Below are 21,861 nucleotides of genomic sequence, written 5' to 3' on the forward strand. Positions count from 1 at the left end.
CACCTCGGCCTCCCAAAGTGCTGGATTACAGGCGTGAGCCACTGTGCCCGGCCTCATTTGTAAATATACATTTTCATCTTGGTAAATATTCTGATGTGTAATAAAACTGCTTTTTTTTTTTTCTTGAGTAGGTCTTGAGTATTAAAATGCAAATTTCCTTCTGTAGCTCTTGAGGTTTGCCTCTTTCCCTCAGTCCCTCATGCCCACACCTTATTCCCCCTATTTAGATTCCTTGGCTAGATAAGGTGTAAGATTTTTTGCTTTTCACTGTCTGGATTGAGGCTAAGTATGATGTTTACCCCTTCCTTCTTTCTCTTGGTGTTGTGTGGATAACAGAACCGGGCCTAGGCCATCAAAGGGCCTGTGATAGGGTCTTTTGACAGCAACAAGACAGATTTTTTTTCTTCTCTTAGTGAGGAGATTGGCAAGATTAGGTATGGCAAAGAGGAGGAAGGGAATTTCCTCTACGCTTTATTGTATATTACTATGGCTGCATAGACATTGAAATGGGGGTCAAAGGGGCCAACCATGTATTTGTCCATTGCCCCACCTTTCCTTGTGCCTTAGACTTAGCAATAGAAAGGGAGGGGGGAATGATAGTCCCATGTGTCTCTGGGTTACAAGAATTATTCCTGTTTCCTAGATTTAGAGTTCATAATGAGAGAGTGACAACACTTGTGTTAGTGGGGGTGCTCTTGTAGGCAAGATGATGCTAAATATAGATTAATCCAGAGCAATTTCCATTTGGCTTTGAAACATTTTTCTATGAATACACGCAAGCTGATATTTCACTTCAAACAAAAATACAAAAGTCACATTTGTGATGACCTTACTCAACTATGAATCCTAGCCAAAGCATTTACTTACCGAGTTGGGTTCATCTATGACCAACATGAGGCACTGGCCTAGGCACTGATGTTCCTCAGAGCTTCTTGCATGCCAGTGGTGTACAGCAGAGTATACATGCAAAAGTAAGCAAACAAACAACAAAATAGGGCAGGTGCTAAGTATAATGGAAAGGTAGGGCAGTGGACCAATATTTAAATTGCTTTTGTGTTCTTTGTTAACGTCTTCTTTAACCCTCACCATAACTCCGTGAAGACACTGAGGAGTGAAATAGTTTACCAGGGTCTATGTAGCTAAGAGAGAGTAGGCAAGGCTTTAACTTGTGTCTGCTGCCAAAAATCTGTACTTCCTATGCTGCTACCAGTCTCATCCTGTATATTCTTCTTTCCTTCAACAATGAGAACAATTATAGTCTATTGTGGTTTCACCTAATTAGGACTCAAATTTTCATCTGTAAAATGAGAGTAGTGTTTGTTTAGTTTTAAAATCTTGTGCTTCTGATTGTCAAACCTGGAAAGGGGAATTTGTCATGGGATAAACAGTAAAGGAAAAGTTAGGTTTTGTTTTGATTTGTTTTTGTGATTCAAATTTTCTAATGAGATTTAGAACATACTTGAAAAGGAAACTAATTCGTAAAATTAAACATTTGATGGCAACAACGAAGAAGGCTTAAGGTCATAAGAGGGTAGACCTCACTGTATCAGGAATATGTGACAACACAGATACTTCTATATTTTGGTATTTGAAAAGTTCGAACCTATTTATTATAGGATAGAAGCTTAGTGAGACAGTACAAATCCATTTCTAGCATAAAATGGATGACTTGATGTTTTTAAATAAAAAGTAGTTGGTAGATTTTTTAAAAATTCTAAAATTTTATTTTATCGTTATTATTTTTTAATAGTAGAAATGGGGTTTTGCTGTGTTGCCCAGGCTAGTCTCGAACTCCTGGGCTCAAGCAGTCCTCCTGCCTCGTCCTCCCAAAGTGCTGGGATTATAGGCATGAGGCACTGTGCCCAGCCATTCGTGGGTTTTTGACCTTTAACTTTTCTTGTGTTGTGATTGTAACAGCAAACATTTCAAAAGAATTTGATCAGGAGGAGAAATAGCACCTGAGTTAACCACAGATTGAATGGTTATTAATTATTTAACACAGATGTGTTACATTTACCTCTAGAGAAAGATGCTTTTAATGATTGTAGAAAAACCAGTAAGTTCAATATTAGAAATTTATGTTTTAAGATTGTGACAGACATCAGAGCTGGCAGATGGGAGAATGTGCAGCTTGGATAACTTAAATGTTGTAAGCATGGATGGAATGTGCCTCTGTTAATGACTGAATCTTAAATTGGAAATGTTTTCATGTATAACTTTATTTGAAGTAATTACTTTGATGTTTTTGAAAGTCAAAACAGTCTCTTTGTAGCAATGCAGTTGTTTTAGTAGCATAGAGGAATAATCATGTCAGAGCAAGGGCAGTATCCCCGTGTTTATTCTATCCTATAATGAACTGATAGAGTCAAATAGATAGCAGCTTCTGTTTTTTTTTTGTTGTTGTTGTTGTTGTTTGTTTTTTGCTTTTTTTTTTTTTGAGATGGAATCTTGCTCTGTTGGCCACACTGGAGTACAGTGGTGTGATCTCAGCTCACTGCAACCTCCGCCTCCTGGGTTCAAGTGATTCTCCTGCCTCACCTCCCAAGTAGCTGGGATTACAGGCACGCACCACCACACCCGGCTAATTTTTGTAATTTTAGTAGAGACGGGGTTTTACCATGTTGGTCAGGCTGGTCTCAAACTCCTGACCTCAAGTGATTCACCTGCATCAGCCTCCCAAAGTGCTGGGGTTATAGGTGTGAGCCACCATGCTCAGTCAGCTTCTGTTAATAATGTGCTGAATTTTCCTAGTTCCTCCCTAGTGATTTTTTTTTCCCTTCAAGAGATATTTCTTTTAAAAAGCAGATAAAATAACTGCAGAATCTTACCTGTCATTTACTTCTGTATAGCAAGAATCACATTTTAAAAGAATATCACAAATTGTTACCATAAGTTAGCTAATATTTGTATAGTAGCTCAGAGTGCAAATCCTGAGGCCAAGTGCTTTTTTTTTTTTTTTTTGAGGCAGAGCCTTGATCTGTTGCCCAGGCTGGAGTTCAGTGGCACGATCTCGGCTCACTGCTACCTCTGCCTCTCAGGTTCAAGTGATTCTCGTGCCTCAGCCTCCCAAGTAGCTGGGATTACAGGTGTGCGCCACCACACTCAGCTAATTTTTTGTATTTTTAGTAGAGATGGGATTTCACTGTGATGGCCAGGCTGGTCTCAAACTCCTGATCTCAAGTGATCCATCTGCCTTGGCCTCTTAAGTACTTGGATTACAGGCGTGAGCCAGCACACCTGGCCCCAAGTGCTTTAAACAAATCTTACTTAATTTTGGTTTCCTAATGATAGTGTAAAATGACCTTGGAACACAAGATCCTTAATTGTGGCTTCTTGTTGGAAGATGAAGTTGGAAGGACAACCATTTCATTATTTTACTGAAGTTTATATAGTATTGACTTGTCATTGTTTGAATATATTGAAAATGAAAAATGACAGTGATCATAATTTATTTTCAATTTTAAGTGTAATATATGAAAATATTGCTGTCTCTGTTTATGATGAATACTAAATTTAAGCTAAGTTATAAGGTGTGCTGTTTGGAAATATGGAAGAAACAAGAATGAAGCCAGATAACAAGTTTATGCTTGTATTTCCTACTGATGAAGACTTTCAGACGAGTTATTTTCATGGGTAGGTGATGTCACTCTGCATGTATACACTTATACTTTTTTGCATGATTATACATGTAGGAGTGGTACAATTTTGACTTGACTGTTGACCTGTTGCCTCAATTTGGGGGTAGGGGTGGAGAATATGAGGGCAAGAGGCTCTGAATGGTATTAGTCATATAAATTTTAAAATAACTCACTAAAATAACTTAGTACAAACACCTAAGAAAAAGCCCTTAAAAAATAGAACATATGGTCAAATAGTCAATATTGTACTTGGCCCTTATATCTTCTGTATCCAAGTATTTGGACATCACACAGTATCTTGATTCCATAATAATCATTTTGAACTCTGACGAGAACGCCATTGAATATTGCAGCTTTCTTTTCTTTTTTTAGAAAAGAAAAACCTGAAACACGAATCATTTTCTTGCTATTTAAACTAAAATCAATTACCAACTGATACCAAGGCCACACTGTTGAATTTTATGGTCATTGAACTTGATTTACCCCTTAAGGGGATCTGGAAATTATTTTTAAGTAGTCAACTAAAGTTGTCATGATCGTCAGAATTTCATATTGTGACATGTCTGTTCTTTATACAGTGGCACCTAACAACTCATTTACTTTTATGTTTGGTCATTTTTTATTTAAAAAATATTACTACATAAACCTGTGGTTTGGTAGTTTAGTTTTAAGGGATCACTACCCAAAGTGTGTTTTTGTTCAGTGACAATTGACACAATGGATATTTGTATTAAAATAGTAATACTTCATTGTGTTACATTTTTATGATTCATTGGCACAGATGCATTCCTTCATAGTCAAGAGTTTCATAAAATAGGTGTGTTTAATATTCATTTGTTGGATGATATCTTAAAAACCTTAATGGAAATAGTTTGCTTGCGCTTCATAAATAGCCTTTGGGGGAGAAAACAGCATTCGTTTATTTCTGCTTTATATTAAAATAGGGGTAGTAGAGGGATTTCTTACTTGAAGGAAAACTTTATGTTTGCTTTTTGCTGTTAACGTTTTTCTTAAAAAAGGGGTAGAATTAGCATTTTAAAGCATGTATCTATTCTACAAGCATGAATATTGACTTATTTTAGCATGAATTGCTGCAGTGTAATTAATTTACTTTGAAACTCAGCTGCCTTTTTCAGCCAGTTAGGGGGATTTGAGGGTGGAAGGGTCCTCTTCCAGTAAGAACTTCAATATTTTCTTGTAAAATCACCCATAAGATTGCATATTGTTTAGTTGGAGTATGAGCTGGTTGTCTTTCTTAAGGAAAAGGAAATAGAAATATCCCTCATAAGATATCCAAAGCAAAATCCTGAAAATGGATTTGTTGTATTGTCTTTTTACAGAATGTCATAAAGTGTATAACATCCCTGTTTTTATAAAAGGACTTTACTGGAAATAGATATGTTAGTCAAACAGAGCTCTAGTGTTAACCTTATTTCTTTAGGACATAGGAAAATATATTTGATTTTCTTTTCTGAATCTACTAGAGACTTTTTATATTACCCAGTAAGAGAAAGAACTAGATTCATTCTTTTAAAAAATATAAATTGGGTTTTAATAATTTGCATCAGTTTTTTCCTTTAAGAAATCAGTTCCACTTTCTCTGTGGAGTCATCCTTTTTTTCTTAATCTTGCTCTTTAAAAGTATGACAGGAATTCAGTGTAACATTGTTGAGTATAGTCTTGTCTTCTGTTCTTCATAGTAACACTCCTTTTCCTCCTTCCAAAATGTGTCCATCATCTTTGTAAGCTTGGATTATCTTTTTCACTTTCACATTTTGTACAAAATATTAGATCTATAAAGTGCAGCTTTTCTGATGAGATAGAATAATGAAGGCAACTGACATTAGAGGGCTCTTACTAGTTTCAGAAGTATTTTTCACCCCACACGTTAGATACAAGTATACATTTTCTTTCCTCCCTAGATGGACCTCCAGTTGTAGCTCATTATGATATGTCTGACACCAACTCTGACCCAGAAGTGGTAAATGTGGACAATTTATTGGCGGCTGCAGTAGTTCAAGAGCACAGTAATTCTGTAGGCGGCCAGGACACAGGAGCTACCTGGAGGACCAGCGGGCTTCTAGAGGAGCTGAATGCAGAGGCAGGTTGGTCTTCCCCATCCCCCTTCTCTAACGGTGTAATATGCATGTGTCCTGGAGCTGTTTTCCTTGTAGTGGACCCTGATGAGGAGAACAGGTCATACCAGAGACATCTGGCATTGAATGATTGGTTGTGACTATCCAGGCTGCCATTTATACCTGAAACAATTTGGATAGCTTGTCATTCATCTTTCCTACTCAGAAGGAAGTAGAAATAAGAGCATTTAAGACATTAATTGTAGGTATTGGTAGGTTTCAGTAGGCATATTTCTTGGATTAAAAATGCCCAATATTTGCAAAAATGACCCAGATATGCTCATATTCTTTGGCCAGTTCTTTCTCTCACTTTAATTCTGGGTAGTGACCTTGCAGCTTGGATAGGGAATCGTTGAATCTCTCCCTGTGGGGCTGGCTGTTCATACACAGCGCTGCCGCTGTTTCTTGTGCTTCTTGCTGTGGAGTGACCCTGTTAATTCCTCGTCAGTAAGTTCTCATTTGTCTTTTCTAACTCCTTTCTTTTAGTTTCTGTCTCTGTTAGCTCAGGAAAAAAAATCTCTGTCCCTGTCTTACATTTTTTTAGTTTTGTGATTATTCTTTAAGGTGGTATTTATTCACTAAAAAATCCACTGCTGTTACCTTTGAAAAACTTTCACAATACCTCCAAGTCTTCTTCAATATTTTCTTCAAAAGTTTCTTTCAGCATTCTAATTTAAACCTTGTTTTGTTGTTGTTGTGAAAATACTAGCACTGAACATTTAAGAAGAGAAGGGGATTGAGAGACTGCTTATGCAGTGTATAATTTCTTCAGTGTTGCTGAAAGATTATAGTTTTCTAGTTAATTTATAAATGCATTGGTTTTATGAGTTAATCTAATAGTTTAATCACTACCTAAAGTTATTTTTATGAAAAATGAGTTTTACAAAAAAATGAGTTATAGTTTAGAACTTTTTATATTGAGACAGAACTCCATTGATTGTTGTTGTCTTAAATTATTCCTTTCATAATCTTTGATTGGAATTACAGAAAAATCACTTGTTTGTTGACCTGATTGATTTACTGTAGCTAATTTTGGAACTGAACCTGAATTTAGTTTTGATTTTTTTTGACTGGTAACTGCTGCCTGTTTGTCCTTGGACCAGTTGTTTCTCCTCTGGACTTCAGTTTTTATATGTATAAATCCTTGTTTTGCCCAACAAGTGTCTTTTAAGGATTTATTAATATGTATTAATACAAATACTTTGAAAAGAAGTAATAATGCTTCTGGGCACAGTGGCTCACGTCTGTAAGCCCAGCACTTTGGGAGGCCGACGTGGGAGGATCACTTGAGGTCAGGAGTTCAAGACCAGCCTGATCAGCATGGTGAAACCCCGTCTCTATTAACAATACAAAAATTAGCTGGGCGTGATGGGTGTGGTGGTGGGCGTGGTGGTGGGCGCCTGTAATCTCAGCTGTGGAATTGCTTGAACCTGGGAGGCAGAGGTTGCAGTGAGCTAAGATTGTGCCACTGCACTCCAGCCTGGGTGACAAAACTAGACTGTATCCCCCCAAAAAAGAAAAAAGAAGTAATAATGCTTTATATCAGTGGAAAGTAGTTTGGCCACATTTTGTACAATATGTGTTTCTAAGTTATTTATTTATTTATTTATTTATTTGAGATGGAGTTTCGCTCTTGTTGCCCAAGCCAGAGTGCAATGGCGCGATCTCAGCTCACTGCAACCTCCGCCTCCTGGGTTCAAGCGATTCTCCTGCCTCAGGCTCCTGAGTAGCTGGGATTACAGGCGCGCACCACCACGCCTGGCTAATTTTTTGTAGAAATGGGGTTTTACCATGTTAGCCAGGCTGCTCTGGAACTCCTGACCTCAGATGATCCGCCTGCCTTGGCCTCCCAAAGTGCTGGGATTACAGGCGTGAACCACTGCACCCAGCCTTGTAATTTGTATATTAGATGGTTTATCTTTGTTTTTCATCCTTTGGCAATTAAGTCATCCATTCCACTTCAGTTTTATTTCTCTGTTTTCTGAGTCTTGCCGTTAAATATAGACCATTTTATGGTAAAGTTTTGGGGTAAAAAATGAATGATTACCAACGTTTTGCTCTTCATATGCAGAATTCTTAATATTAGATTGAACCGTATGGAATTGTTAATATTTGACTTTTTGACCTACAAAAAATCAGCCATTTCTTATGACTTGACCGAATAATGCAAAGTTTGCGGTTTTAAAATATCATTAAAGTTTAGCTTTTGGGATGGCATTCACATTTTCAGATTCAAGTAATTGTTAGCCTATTTAAAAATCACTCTTAAGAAACTACAACCATTCTTTTTAAGAAATAAAACGTGGTAAAAGTATGTGAGGAGGAAAACAACTGTGGCTTCAGATGTTTTCCTTCCCTTTGCCCTTCCCATGCCAAAGCTATCCTAAATTGGATATTTAATGTGTGGTATTCCTGTGTATTTCTTTATATATTTGTACTACATTTGTTATATATCTAAATAAGCATGTTTTTAAAACTAATTGGTATCACATTGAAGGTAATCATTTGAAATGTGCTTTTTTAGTTAAACATTTTATGAGTTTTGTTGTTGTTATGTGTGGCTCTAGTTCATTCATTTTCCACTGCTATTTAGTATTCCACTATATGAATATATCACAATTTACCCATTCTCTTGTTGGACATTTAGGGTGCTATTTTAAGTGATACTGCTCTTAACATTTCTTTATGTGTTTTTTGGTATATGTATATGATAATTTCTCTAGGATATAATTAATATATAGAGAGAGCATTTGTGCATATTGGACTATAAATTTTGTGTAGGTTTCTGTATATCATAGGATGCAGTCACCACTGCTCAGCAGATCCCCATGACATTTTGTTATGAAGCTTATTGGCTCTTTCAAAGGCATTTTTTTTTCTTAAATCTGACAATACTGGTATGTGGGTAATAAATAAAAATAATACTGTAGTCTTGATGTGATTATCATAGTGGAACTCATCTTGTGAAGATATCTGAATGTGCTTACAGTGTCTCAATAAAATATTAATAGAATTTATGCTTAGGAGCCAGTTAATAGTTTTGAGGCTTGGACTATTAGTCAGATGGTCATTCTTATGGTGTGAGTGTAAGTTAAAATTTTAATGGTTAATCTGGGTCCTGTCTTTCCCTTTCACAACAAAATAGCAAGCCTAGTTATTGAGCAGACTATTCAGGGGTTCACTTTAATCAACAGCAGCATCTCAACCCAGGTCCACAGCCCCATCCCATTTAGGATCACATAGGTACGCACTAAAGATAGAGTAGGTTGCCTTTTTCCAAGCAATTAGATGATTATCTTGCATCCAAAATATATATTTAGTTTTAGTTTTAACCTAGGCAAAAGACTTGAACCACATGCAGGGATTAAAAAGTAAGTCGAAATTAGAGAAGCTACTGATCAACAAAAGACCTGAATTTTCCATTTCAATTCTTGCCATGTGTTTGCTTTTTTTAAGTTGATGCTGGAATTGAACACTGTAGTGGGTGATTTTGAACCAGTGGCCACTTAGAAACTGCATGTCCTCAGGTAAATTATATAAAGCCTCAGTTTTCCCTATCTACAAAACTGGGGCACAACCTTTATAGTATCTACTCCAAAAGGTTATTGTTACCACTAAGTGAAATACAGTGTGTTTACTACGGAGGACAGCACATAGTAGGCCCTCAGAAATGCTAACCAGCATTATGTTAATATGCTGAAGTAGACTGAGTAAGGAAGTGATTAGTGGCTCAGTCACTGGATTTCTAATTACTCTCTTGCACTGCAACGAGTTGCTCTTGCTACAAGTACTTCTTAAATTTTGCCAGAGCGTAGAAATTACCCAGTGTGTTTATAAATATTCACACTCCTAGGTTTCTCCTGATGATTCTGTCAATAAATCTGAAATGGTTTCTGGGAATCTCTTTTTAATAATAGCCTCAGGTAACTCTTGTATCCAGCATGTTTAGGAAACTGTATTAATATATCTGAAAATGGCTTCATTTTTGTTGCTAGTAAGGGCTCACTGCAAACAAATGTAGTTGGGGCAAGAAGAAGCAGAAGTCTTGGTGAGGAAGGCTTATAGCTGTGGTAAACTGAACTTATTTAGGATTTTTTTCCCTGGGAAGTTAAAACTTTAAATACCTTATCTTTTCCATCAGCCTTCTTGTCAAGAAGGTAGGTTCTGAGCATTTTCCCCATCCTTACAATAGGGATGGTAATCTTGATTTGTCCCTAACATGGTGGCAGTACAGAGAAATGAATCCTGGGTTTCCTGTTCCTAGTGTAGGGTTTTTAATAATTAGACCAGAATGGCCATGTTTCAGAATCAGTATAGTGAAGGAGATGAAGTATGGTCATGTTCTTCATGTTTATCTGCATCAAATTGATGGTAAGAGTTTAGATTTTTTTTTTTTTTTTTTTTTAAGAGGGAGTCTCCAGTCACCCAGGCTGGAGTACAATGGCACATTCTGGGCTCACTGCAACCTCTGCCTCCCGGGTTCAAGTAATTTTCGTGCCTCAGCCTCACAAGTAGCTGGGATTACAGGTGTGTGCCACTGCGCCTGGCTAATTTTTGTATTTTTAGTAGAGACAGGGTTTACCATGTTGGCCAGACTGGTCTCGAATTCCTGACCTCCAGTGATCCGCCTGTCTTGGCCTCCCGAAGTGCTAAGATTACAGGCATGAGCCACCACACCCAGCCAGATTTTAGATTTTTGAGCTCTTCCTTCACTCTTTTTTGTTGTTGTTGTTGGAGATGGATTCCAGCTCTGTCGCTCAGGCTGGATGCGGTGGCAGTCTCCGCTCATTGCAGCATCTGCCTCCTCGTTCAAGTGATTCTCCTGCCTCAGCCTATCCAGTAGCTGGGATTACAGGTACCCGTCACCACGCCCCGTTAATTTTTTTATATTTTTAGTAGAGATGGGGTTTCACCATGATGGCCAGGCTGGTCTTGCCCTCCTGATCTCAAGTAATCTGCCCACTTCTGCATCTCAAAGTGCTGGAATTTCAGGCGTGAGCTACCATGTCCAGCCCTCTTCCTTCACTTTTTAAGGTTGTTTAACGTGCTGTTTAAGGAACTAAAAGTAGGCTGGGTGCTGTGGCTCACGCCTATAATCCTGGCATTTTGGGAGTCCGAGGTGGGCAGATCACGAGGTCAGGAGTTCGAGACCAGCCTGTCCAATATGGTGAAACCCCATCTATACTAAAAAAAATACAAAAATTAGCTGGGCACGGTGGCGTGGGCTCCTGTAGTCGCAGCTACTTGGGAGGCTGAGGCAGGAGAATTGCTTGATCCCGGCAGGTGGAGGTTGCAGTGAGCCGAGATTGCACCACCTCTCTCCAGCCTGGGTGACAGAGTGAGACTCTGTCTCAATAAAAAAAAAAAAAAAGAAAGAAAAAAAGAACTAAAAGTAGTAATTTGCTGTTTTTAAAGCTAAATGAGTAGTGACTTATTTTTTTATTTTTTTTATGCCTAGCATGCGACTGTCATACAGTATGTAGTATTACTTTCTCTTCAGTGTGTTGCAAAGCTCAGGCCTAGTTCTTACCCAGTGGATTTACAGTTTAAAAAGTAGCTGGATTATTTCCTTTAAAGACAGAAAGAAACTGTTTTCCATGATAATTTAGTTACTACTTTTTCTGTGCTTCTTTTTCTTACCCTATTTTGATAACTACCTTTTCTTGGTAACTTTTTCTTACCCTTTCTTGTTGAAAAGGTCTGTAGTGGGAGGACAAAATTTAGAATTTTCTCATATAGTGAAAGAAGTTATCTTTCCAAAGACCTACACAGGCAGAGACCTACACAGAGACAGCCAGCTGTCACAATAGCTAAATATAAGTGCTCTGCTTTATTTTCAGTTTAATATATGGTAATTGCGGTATTTACATTTTTCTCTACAGGGCTTGTTCTTGTCTTAGAACTGGAAAAGATTACTACCACTGACAGTATTTGAAGAACCTCATAGCATCTTTGGCTCACTTTTCTGTATGCTTTAGGCACTGTTCTGCCATTGGAATCCTGTGAAGTCCTCCATGGGGGGTGAGGCGGGGTGGGGAGGGGCAGAGCAGAAAAGGCCCAAAGGCCAGAGAATGTCAGGTTCTATACTGGAGCTCCCAAAGGAATGTGTGGGATGCTGAAGAGGGTTACAGTGACAGAAAAGGACTAATGGTCCTGGCTCTGAAATAGAAGAAGGAAGAGGCAGAGGCATCCCAGAATGCCTTTGGTGTCTCTTGTAGAGCACGGCATCTCATTGCCTTGGTGTGGGTCCTAGCTGATTTGTTTTCTGTGTGGCACAATTTATCTAAGGCTCTGACAGGAAATTTGGCAAATGTCTCACACTATTAGTCTAGGAGTTGTTAACATTCACGAGGCAGTCTGTATTTAGCACCCCCATCACTTTCTCATGCCTCTTATCTTGCACTAGTATATTGACCAAGCATTACAGATAAGAGCAGACCCTAGGCTAGGCGCGGAGGCTCACACCTGTAATCCCAGCACTTTGGGAGGCCGAGGCGGGTAGATTACCTGAGGTCAGGAGTTCGAGACCAGCCTTACCAACATGGCCAAACCCCGTCTCTACTAAAATACAAAATTAGCCTGGCGTGGTGGTGCATGCCTGTAATCCCACCTACTCAGGAGGCTGAGGTGGGAGAATCGCTTGAACCCGGGAGGTGGAGGTTGCAGTGAGCTGAGATCACATCTTTGCACTCCAGCCTGAGCAACAAGAGCAAAACTCCATTTCAAAAAAAAAAAAAAAAATAGCAGACCCCAATTTAAAGTGACCAGTTTTAGCATATCATCTGGGTTTTGTAACCATGTTAAATACCAGCAGGTTTGGATTGCAATTTTTATGGCAAAAATTGCACTACCAGAATTGTTTGGATTATCTAACAATGTGGAAGGAATATTACTAGTTTCTAGATCCATAATGAATGAATAAAGTTAGAAGAATCTGAAATATTGGTGATGGTACCTTGTTTTTTTTTTAAAAGACAGTATAAAATTAACAAAAGTAGCATAGTAACTTTTCGTTTCATAAAAAATAAAGTGATGACATTTCTAGCTCTGGAATAAGGCTATTGGAGGTAGTAAGGTGAGGATGGCAGGGTCCTAGTCAGTGAAGACTGGTTATTCAGAAATATTGATGACAGATATTTCACAAAACATTCCTGCTAGAGAGGGTAGAATTATAAATTAGAACGATGGTTATAGGAACCGAGCAAAGAGATACTAAGAATTAACTAATTCCATCATATTCTTGTTGTATTTTCTTAATTACCATTGTTTAAAAGCATTGAGTGATCAAGGAGGAAGAGTTTGGTTATAGTGATCCTGCCTGTCTACACTCTGCCTTTTTAATTTGGTTTAATTAATTTCATTTATTTATTTTTAGGATCCCAACAGGCTGAACCCCTTACTGTGAGTCTGCCACAAGTGGCTTTTAGTACCTCTTGGAGCTCAGCTCCTTGCTTGGTTGCTTATTGATTGATTGAGATGGCATCTTGCTCTGTCATCCTGGCTGGAGTGCAGTGGTATAATTCACCTCACTGCAATCTCGGCCTCCTGGATTCAAGCACTTCTTCTGTCTCAGCCTTCTGAGTAGCTGGGACTACAGGGGCGTACCACCATACCTGCCTAATTTTTGTATTTTTAGTAGAGACCGGGTTTTGCCATGTTGGCCAGGCTTGGTCTCAAACACCCGACCTCAAGTGATCTGCCTGCCTCGGCCTCCCTAAGTGCTGGGATTACAGGTGTGAGCCATGGAGCCCAATCCAGCTTCTTGCTTCTTAGTGAGTAGGCACAGTTTTGAGGTGGTTTTTCACATAAATAATGAGTATTCATGATAGCAGGACTTGTAAGTAGAGAGAGACTAACATAGGTGCCAGGACTGTTTCATGAATGAGTAACAGTCATGGAGTCAGTAGATGGCAGTGAAACGGTAACCTCCTGGAAGGCACTGCCTGCTGGTGTTGGTACATGAGGATGGAGATGAGTAATTTATAAGTGATCTGCATCCCAGCATTGGGGGTTAAGAGCAGCTTCCTCTTCAGAAGACTGCAGGGGAGACAACGTCTTCAGGAACGTCAGTCAGGTTTCCACAAGGAGGTGGAGAGAAAGTTCAGTGTATTTTACCATGGAGTTGGCATTCCAGAAGGTAAAGTTGTAGGAGGGTGAGCAGTGGGTGGCTGGAGCAAAGGAAGACAACAGAGTTGGGGATAAGATGGCAAAAAATGGATGATCCCAGGTGCTTATATTTTGTAGGTAGCTAAGAGGGTGAAAGTATAGTGTTTTACTTCTCATGACCACTGGTTTTCCTTCTACCCCTCCTTACTGCTTTTTCCTTTTCCACGTAGGCTTTTCTATACTCTTTATTTTTGTTTGTTTGTTTGTTTGTTTTTTTGAGACGGAGTCTTGCTCTGTCACCAGGCTGGAGTGCAGTGGCACGATCTTGGCTCACTACTGAAACCTCCGCCTCCTGGGTTCAAGCGATTCTCCTGCCTCAGCATCCGGAGTAGCAGGGACTACAGGCATGTGCCACCACACCCAGCTAATTTTTGTATTTTTAGTAGAGATGGGGTTTCACTCTGTTGGCTAGGATGGTCTCCATCTCTTGACCTCATGATCTGCCTGCCTTGGCCTCCCAAAGTGGTGGGATTACAGGCGTGAGCCACTGCGCCTGGCCTCTATACTCTTACGCAGCTACTTCCACCACACTACTTTTCTACTTCATTGGACCAATCCCCCATCCCTTTATCAGTCCTCTCCCAGCTTCCTGTCCTTCCCTATCAAGCCTATATAGGCCCAGCTGTCCTTTGCCAATGTCACTTATAGAGTTGACTTTCCTGTTGTACTTACCTGGCAGAGTCTGATCCCTGGATGCACACTTTGAGCCTGTATCCCCCATGCTAAGCATAGCTGGAGAAAATCACTTTGTCACAGAGTTAAAGGTTGCCTTAATTTCCTAGTCTGCGGCTTCATCCAGGCTCTCAGCGCTTCCCAGAAACTCCCCCTTTTCCTTAGGCAGCATTCTTTTTTTTTACTTTTTTTGAGACGGAGTCTTGCTCTGTCACCCAGGCTGGAGTGCAGCGGCGCCATCTCAGCTCACTGCAAGCTCTGCCTCCCAGGTTCACGCCATTCTCCTGCCTCAGCCTCCTGAGCAGCTGGGACTACAGGCGCCCGCCACCACGCCCGGCTAATTTTTTTTTGTATTTTTAGTAGAGACGCGGTTTCACTGTGTTAGTCAGAATGGTCTCGATCTCCTGACCTCGTGATCCACCCGCCTCGGCCTCCCAAAGTGCTGGGATTACAGGCTTGAGCCACCACGCCCGGCCTTGCATTCTTTCTCCGTAGTGGCTACTTCGCTTTTCTGCACCTGCCCACACCTACTCTCTGCAGATGGCCTTGCCACATTCTTCAAAATCCAGATTACCTCAGCTTTCTGCTGTCAAACCTATTCTCTGCCCTTTTGGAATATGAACAGGTCTCTCTCATTGTTAAAAACTATGTATATACACATACATACAAACACCCTTCCCTCAAGCCCATATTCCTTACTCAGTACCATCCTATCTCCTTTTCCTCCATAGCCAAACTTCTTAAACTGTGTTTGCTCTTCCTTCCCTTTCATTATTCTTCAGATTGCTTTGCTATATTGGCTTTCTCCCAGGCTGGAGTGCAGTGGTGCAATCATGGCACACTGCAGCCTTGACTCCCTGGGCTCAAGCAATCCTCCTGTCTCAGTTTCCCGAGTTGCTGAGTCTGTAGTTGCACACCACCACGTCTAATTCCCCGCCCCCCTCGCCCCACCCCATCTCTTAATTATTTATGTTCATCAATACTTGGGTTGTGTTTTCTAGACCACTTTTACTCTTCAGGATGATCTTTATTCTCTCATCTATTGCTGAGGATTTAACAAGTCTGTATTTCCTCTTTAGACCTCTGACCTGAGCTTTAGAACAGTACCGATTGTACCATTGACTGTCATCTGCTTACTCCGTGATAGTTTCACTCATTTATGAAACATTCCTGGCACCTGTCTTAGTCTGTCTCTGCTTGCAAGTCCTGCTATCATGAACACTCATTATTTATGTGAAAAGTTATGTGAACTGCTTATTGGACATATTAAAGGCACATAATCATCATGCCCTGAGCAACCACCCTCAGCTTTTATTAGTGCACTGAATGGCACTGTAACTCTATCCATTTACCTAAGTCAGAAACCTAAGCATCATTTTTGACTTTCTATGTTCTTTCATTTGCCTAATTCCCAACATTACTAACCCTCCATTCGTACACACACACACACACACACACACAGTATTTTCCATTGTTTTTTTTTCCTAGTTCAGCCACAGTCATTTCTCACCCAGGAAGCTGCAGCAGTCTAACTGGTTTTGTTGCCTCCAGTATTTCCTGTCCTGCTTGCTATCAGTTTCATTTCTATACTCTGAAAGGAAATTCTTTAAAATGCAAAACCAGATGACGTCACCCCTCTGCTTACCCTCTGCTTAAATGGTTCAGTGGCTTCCTACTTCTCAAAGCTAAGTCCAGACAGCTTACCATGATCTGACCTGCTGACTTTGGTAGCCTTGTTTCTTATTACTCTTTTGACTGTTACCCCCAAATCTCACCAAACTTTTATACCTTAAAGGACAACAGAATGTTCTGTATGCCACTTCCCCTCATCTGTGCCTACTCTTCCTTGAGAACCCAGCTTCCCTGATTACCCTCAAGTCTGGTGAATGTTCCCTATCAGAGCAGTTTTCAAGCCATGGTGCAATAGACTGCTTTTTATTATCTCTGCATATATCGCAGGTTCATTGAGGGTAGAGACTATGCCTGCCTTGTTCCCCATAGTATTTCTAGCACTTAGCACAGTGCATAGCATGTCGCAAGTATTTATTGTAGGTACAAACAAATAAAGTAAACAGTAAAGACTGTTTGAATTATTGAATATGGAAAAGTTGAAGGCTATAAAGAAGAGAGTCTGTGATTTTGTATTCTTCCTTAGCAGTACAGTTGGAACAGTGTGCATGAGGATAGGAATAACTAAAACATTGAAGTAGAACTTGGATGAAGACTTGGCCACAAGCAAGGTATTGGGGATCAGAGCAAGAATCTAGGTTTACGAAAGCAAGACTTAACCAATTCCATTTAAGCAGCCTCCCTAGATTTAATAAAACAGAGTTTTATCTGGTGAATGCCACCTTTTGTATGCTTATAGGGTCCAGATATGTGCCCACTGCTAGTGCCACATAATCTGGATTACAAACCCACGCAAACTGTGATATATAATCTCAATCACTGGTTTATCTAGGAGCCATTCTAAGCATTAAAAATTTTTCACATATATGCATCATTTTCAGTCGAAGAATAAAAGGTAAAAATAGTACTAAAGAATTATGAAAAAGACCCACAATCATATTCAAACTTGATTATTTTTCACAGCTTTACTCAGAATCTACATATTTTTATAGTGTTATGTGTAATACTTTATATGTTAGTATACATTTTTCCAAGTTGCTACATAGCACTGTAATGAATATCTTTGGATATAACATTTTGCTTATTTAAAGGCTAAGGAGTAAATTATTAGGGATGGGTTTACAGGGTCAGAAGGTATAAAAATTGTAAGCCTTGGTTTGAGACTGTCTGTAGCTTCCAAAAGGTTTACACTCAAGGGTGACAGGAGTATGAAAGTACAGGATTTGGCCAGGTGCGGTGGCTTAAGCCTGTAATCCCAGCACTTTGGGGAGGCCAAGGTGGGCTGATCACCTGAGGCCAGGAGTTTGAGACCAGCCTGGCCAACGTGACGAAACCCCATCTCTACTAAAACTACAAAAATTAGCCAGGTGTGGTGGCGTGCGCCTGTAATCCCAGCTACTCGGGAGGTTGAGGCAGGAGAATTGCTTGAACCTGGGAGGCGGAGGCTGCAGTGAGCCGAGATTGTGCCATTGCACTCTAGCCTGGGTAACAGAGCGAGACTCCATCTCAAAAAAAAAAAAGGTACAAGATTTCTCAATAACCTTGAAGCATTGGGTTGAGTAAAGGGAGAAGAGAGTTGCATGTAAAATTTTCTTTTCTTTTTTTTTTGAGACAGAATCTCCCTCTGTCGCCTGGCTCCTGGAGTGCAGTGGCGCGATCTCGACTCACTGAAACCTCTGCTTCCTGGGTTCAAGCAATTCTCTATCCTTAGCCTCCTGAGTAGCTGGGACTACAGGCATGCCACCATGCCCAGCTAATTTTTGTATTTTTAGTAGAGATGGGGTTTCAACCATGTTGGCCAGGATGGTCTTGATCTCTTGACCTTGTGATCCGCCCACCTTGGCCTCCCAAAGTGCTGGGATTACAGGCATGAGCCAAAATTTTATTTTATTTACATTGGTTTAGTTTAGATTAGGTGTTGTGTAGATTTTTTTTTTAAATATGGGAAATAATTTTGTATCAGATCACAATATATTTAAATAAAAATACCCTTTAGAGGGTAAATGAGAATTTGTACTCATTGCAACTCTGTTTATTCTATGTTAACTCCTAGGTATTCTAAAATTCAGCCTTTTAAATCAGAACATTCAAGAGCTGGTACATAGGCCGAATTATTTTAGCTCTTGCTAGAATTGTTTTTAGAGCCATGTACTTTGATGCCATGCCATTAGCCATTATTGAGAGTTCTGTGAAGCTCATGTTTTCTGTGATGTTGGAGAATGTATTTTATTGCATCATATAATACGTGCTTTGGGAAGACTCTTGTAAAGAAGTCCTTACATCCCCCAGTGCCACAAACTGTTATGTTTTTCCAGAGTGTGTGGTTTGTTTCTAAGGAGAACTCTCAGCAATGTACAAGTTACATTTCAGTTGCTCAGAGCCAAAATTGTGATTTACCTCCAGCCTTCCTTTTTAGATGTAGTTTTGGGTCAGATTTTGTCAAATCTATGTTTCTTTAGAGAGGACATGTGCTAAATCTTTCACAAAGCATCTCAGTATAAATATGGTATTAGTGATTACTTCTATTATTCTATATGTGCCTTTGGGCTTTTCTGGTTTAGAGTTTGGTTCTATTAAAATGATAAGCAGTAGAGAGCCCCACTGCCTTCTAGGTGGTTACGCAGGTCGTTTAAAAGCTGACTGGAGTTGAATGCAAAAAGCATTACAGCATAAAATATATAGAGTTTGTTATGGTTTAGGTAGACAGATATAGGTATTTACCAAAGCATTTAAATTTTTTTATCCTAAGGAGTAGCGAGTGAGAGACTTTGAGTTCATACTTTTATGTACTGCCATGTTGTTTGAATATACATCATGAGCATATATTCTGTATATTTTTTGAACAAAGAACACTGCCCCAGCTTATTTGACAGTTTTGCTGTGGCAAGCTCTCACAGGGTGATTCTGTTTCTGTGACTAAACCTAGATGACAAATCTGTCAATGAGTTGTTTCCACTGTTTGTGAGGAATAAAATTATAGTGCTTGTTTTTTTTCCTCCCCTTCTCTCTCAGGTCATTTGGATCCAGGATTCCTAGCAAGTGACAAAACATCTGCTGGCAATGCGCCACTCAATGAAGAAATTAACATTGCGTCTTCAGATAGTGAAGTAGAGATTGTGGGAGTTCAGGAACATGCAAGGTAGGATACTAATTGGAGTAGTCTGATATTTTAAGTTATAAATTCTATTTTAACCAGAAAACAAGTTAAAAGAAAATGGTAGACTTTATGGCATAGCTGGCATGAATGAATGATGGGAGTTCTTGGTTTTGTTTTGTTTAAGAAACACTTTTTGTTTAGACATGATATGAGCCTTAGAGTGTGTTATATATTGTCTCATATCAAGGACATTTCAACCATACATGTCTGTGAACTAGAGCTGATGTTTTTTTCTTTTAAGCAAATGTTTAGTTAGCTTGACAGACTTTTCATTTAAGGCAGAAGTATCACTGTACTTTTTTCTCTCACGTTTATACTTTCTTGCCTTTCACTTTACCTGGAAATATACTAGGAGCAAACAGTTGGGAAACATGCATCTGACATCATGCCTTTTTGACTGGTTTCCTAGAGCAACTCTCCTTGTCTTTCATTAGAAGCAAACTTGCAAGTTATTTTGGTCTGTTTTTACAGAGTGTATTTCCAGTAATGCTCATATAACTAAGGGAGTCTTTTTTCTTAGGATTAAAAGAAACCCCACAAGACATCAAGTTGGTGTGTAGCATTATAAACATAATTTATGAAGTTTGGCATTCGTTAAGGTAGGGGTCAGCAAACTGTGGCCCATAGGCCAATTCTGGCCTGCTGCCTGTTTTAGTCTGGGCTGTGAGCTAAGAATGATTTTTACCTTTTTAGGTGGCTGGTGGGAAAAAAAAATCAAATGAAGACTGATACTTTGTGACATGTGAAAATTACAGGAATTAAAATTTTAGTCTATAAATAAAGTTTTATTTTAACAACCATGCTTGTTCATTTTATATATAATCATCGATGTCTGTTTGTGCACTCCACTGGCAAAGTTGAATCGTTTCAACAAAGATTATATGTCCTCCCCAAAGCCTAAGATATGTACTGTCTGAAAAGTCAATACCTTTGCAGAAAACATTTGCTGACTCCTGCTTTAAGGTATGTTCATAATAATTGGTTCCAACCCTTTCAGCGATATTCTTCTGAAACATTCTGGAACATCCTTTCCCCACCTCCCCTGCCGCACATGCACACACCCACCCACCCCCCAAAATTTAGACTTTAGAACTTGTGTATTTTGTATAAAGCAAACAACTTTTCTCCCATGCCACAAGAGTGAAGTTGTGATTTTCTGGTAAATAGGTATATAACATAGTGTATTCATTACTTGGCTCTTTGATCTGATTTTACTCTGGTTACCCAGGTAATAAAACACATTTGCCAGCATTTCTTCTGTCTCTTATATAAAAGACAAACTTAAAAGTATAGAGTGGAGATGAAATACAGATACATGTACGTTAAGGGTATCTTTTTCTAGAGAGATCTAAGTATACTTTGAGAGCATTTTTCAGTCAAATAATTGGAACTTTAAGGATGTAGAGTTAATTTGTAGTTTAACATGCCGTCTCCCCAAAAGTGGCCAATTCTGGCTTTTTCAGAACTAGTCTTGTCCTAGCACTTCATCCTCTATTCTGTATTTATACCTTCTGTATTTATTCTGTAAGTATGCCTGTACGGCTGCTTCAGTTTTTCTTTTTCTTTTTCTTTTCTTTTCTTTTCTTTGCTTTTCTTTTCTTTTCTTTTTTTTTTTTTTTTTTTTTTTGAGGGGGAGTTTCACTCTTGTTGCCCAGGCTGGAGTGCAATGGCACGATCTTGGCTCACTGCAACCTCCACCTCCCAGGTTCAAGCAATTCTCCTGTCTCAGGCCCCTGAGTAGCTGGGATTACAGGCATGCGCCACCACGCTCCGCTAATTTTGTATTTTTAGTTGAGATGGTGTTTCTCCATGTTGGTCAGGCTGGTCTTGAACTCCTGACCTCAGGTGATCCACCCACCTCGGCCTCCCAAAGTGCTGGGATCACAGGCATGAGCCACCGCGCTTGGCCTCTTTTTCTTTTTTTTTAATGATTATTCTCCCTATTCCGGTGGGAAATAATTTTTATTTTTCAGTCTTTCCTTTACTCTCTGTTTTCTGCCTTAATTACAAATTTTTTCCTATTAAATTCTCTTCCTTTTTTCCATTTTTCTGTTTAGGCTGACTTACCTACCAGATGAGAAAGCTAGAACTACTGATTTCTTCCTTTACATCAGCAAATTTTTGTCTTTGGTTTATTTCACCATTGTTGCTTATGATATAAATTATCCTTTTAAGCCCCATGTCAGGATCTTTCTAGACTATTGTATTTTTAAATTTTAGGGTTCCTACTATGATACCCTGCCCATTGACAGGTCAGTGTGGGTGAATTATCTTCAAATGTGCCAGGGACATATTATTCATTCACCAACTTCCTTTTGAGTTACATTTCAAATTTTAATTCATTGTACTTATGTGTTCCTACTTAAATAGGGAAGGAATAGGTAGTAACCTGTATTGTTTATCTAGTCTCTTACTCTGTGCTAAGACATATCACTTGGTCAAGTTCTCTGTTAATTTCTAACTC

General features: G+C 39.3%; 1 protein-coding gene across 4 annotated transcripts in view, besides 4 other annotated features; it reads left to right on the plus strand.

Annotated features, from left to right (window-relative positions):
- Positions 1-21,861, plus strand: part of ARK2N (arkadia (RNF111) N-terminal like PKA signaling regulator 2N) — a 93,440-nt gene that overhangs the window by 60,892 nt on the left and 10,687 nt on the right. For 2 of the 4 annotated variants that reach the window (XM_011525822.3, NM_145055.5), the window contains exons 3-4: positions 5,561-5,743; positions 19,253-19,379. In XM_011525822.3, the coding sequence (XP_011524124.1) occupies positions 5,561-5,743; positions 19,253-19,379 (310 nt within the window). The remainder of the gene's footprint in view (positions 1-5,560; positions 5,744-19,252; positions 19,380-21,861) is intronic. The other 2 variants (XM_017025555.2, NM_001008239.3) reach the window with 1 other exon arrangement.
- Positions 15,087-15,723: an enhancer, noted in NCBI's record as "H3K27ac-H3K4me1 hESC enhancer chr18:43829497-43830133 (GRCh37/hg19 assembly coordinates)". NCBI's record gives its function as "activates a minimal SCP1, AML or CMV promoter by ChIP-STARR-seq in naive H9 embryonic stem cells {active_cell/tissue: H9 hESC(naive)}" and the evidence as "EXISTENCE:reporter gene assay evidence [ECO:0000049][PMID:30033119]".
- Positions 15,724-16,359: an enhancer, noted in NCBI's record as "H3K27ac hESC enhancer chr18:43830134-43830769 (GRCh37/hg19 assembly coordinates)". NCBI's record gives its function as "activates a minimal SCP1, AML or CMV promoter by ChIP-STARR-seq in naive H9 embryonic stem cells {active_cell/tissue: H9 hESC(naive)}" and the evidence as "EXISTENCE:reporter gene assay evidence [ECO:0000049][PMID:30033119]".
- Positions 16,115-16,194: an enhancer, noted in NCBI's record as "active region_13277". NCBI's record gives its function as "activates an Ori minimal core promoter by ATAC-STARR-seq in GM12878 lymphoblastoid cells {active_cell/tissue: GM12878}" and the evidence as "EXISTENCE:reporter gene assay evidence [ECO:0000049][PMID:35858748]".
- Positions 16,245-16,304: an enhancer, noted in NCBI's record as "active region_13278". NCBI's record gives its function as "activates an Ori minimal core promoter by ATAC-STARR-seq in GM12878 lymphoblastoid cells {active_cell/tissue: GM12878}" and the evidence as "EXISTENCE:reporter gene assay evidence [ECO:0000049][PMID:35858748]".

Source organism: Homo sapiens, chromosome 18 (assembly GCF_000001405.40).
Source record: "Homo sapiens chromosome 18, GRCh38.p14 Primary Assembly".
Taxonomy (NCBI): domain Eukaryota; kingdom Metazoa; phylum Chordata; class Mammalia; order Primates; family Hominidae; genus Homo; species Homo sapiens.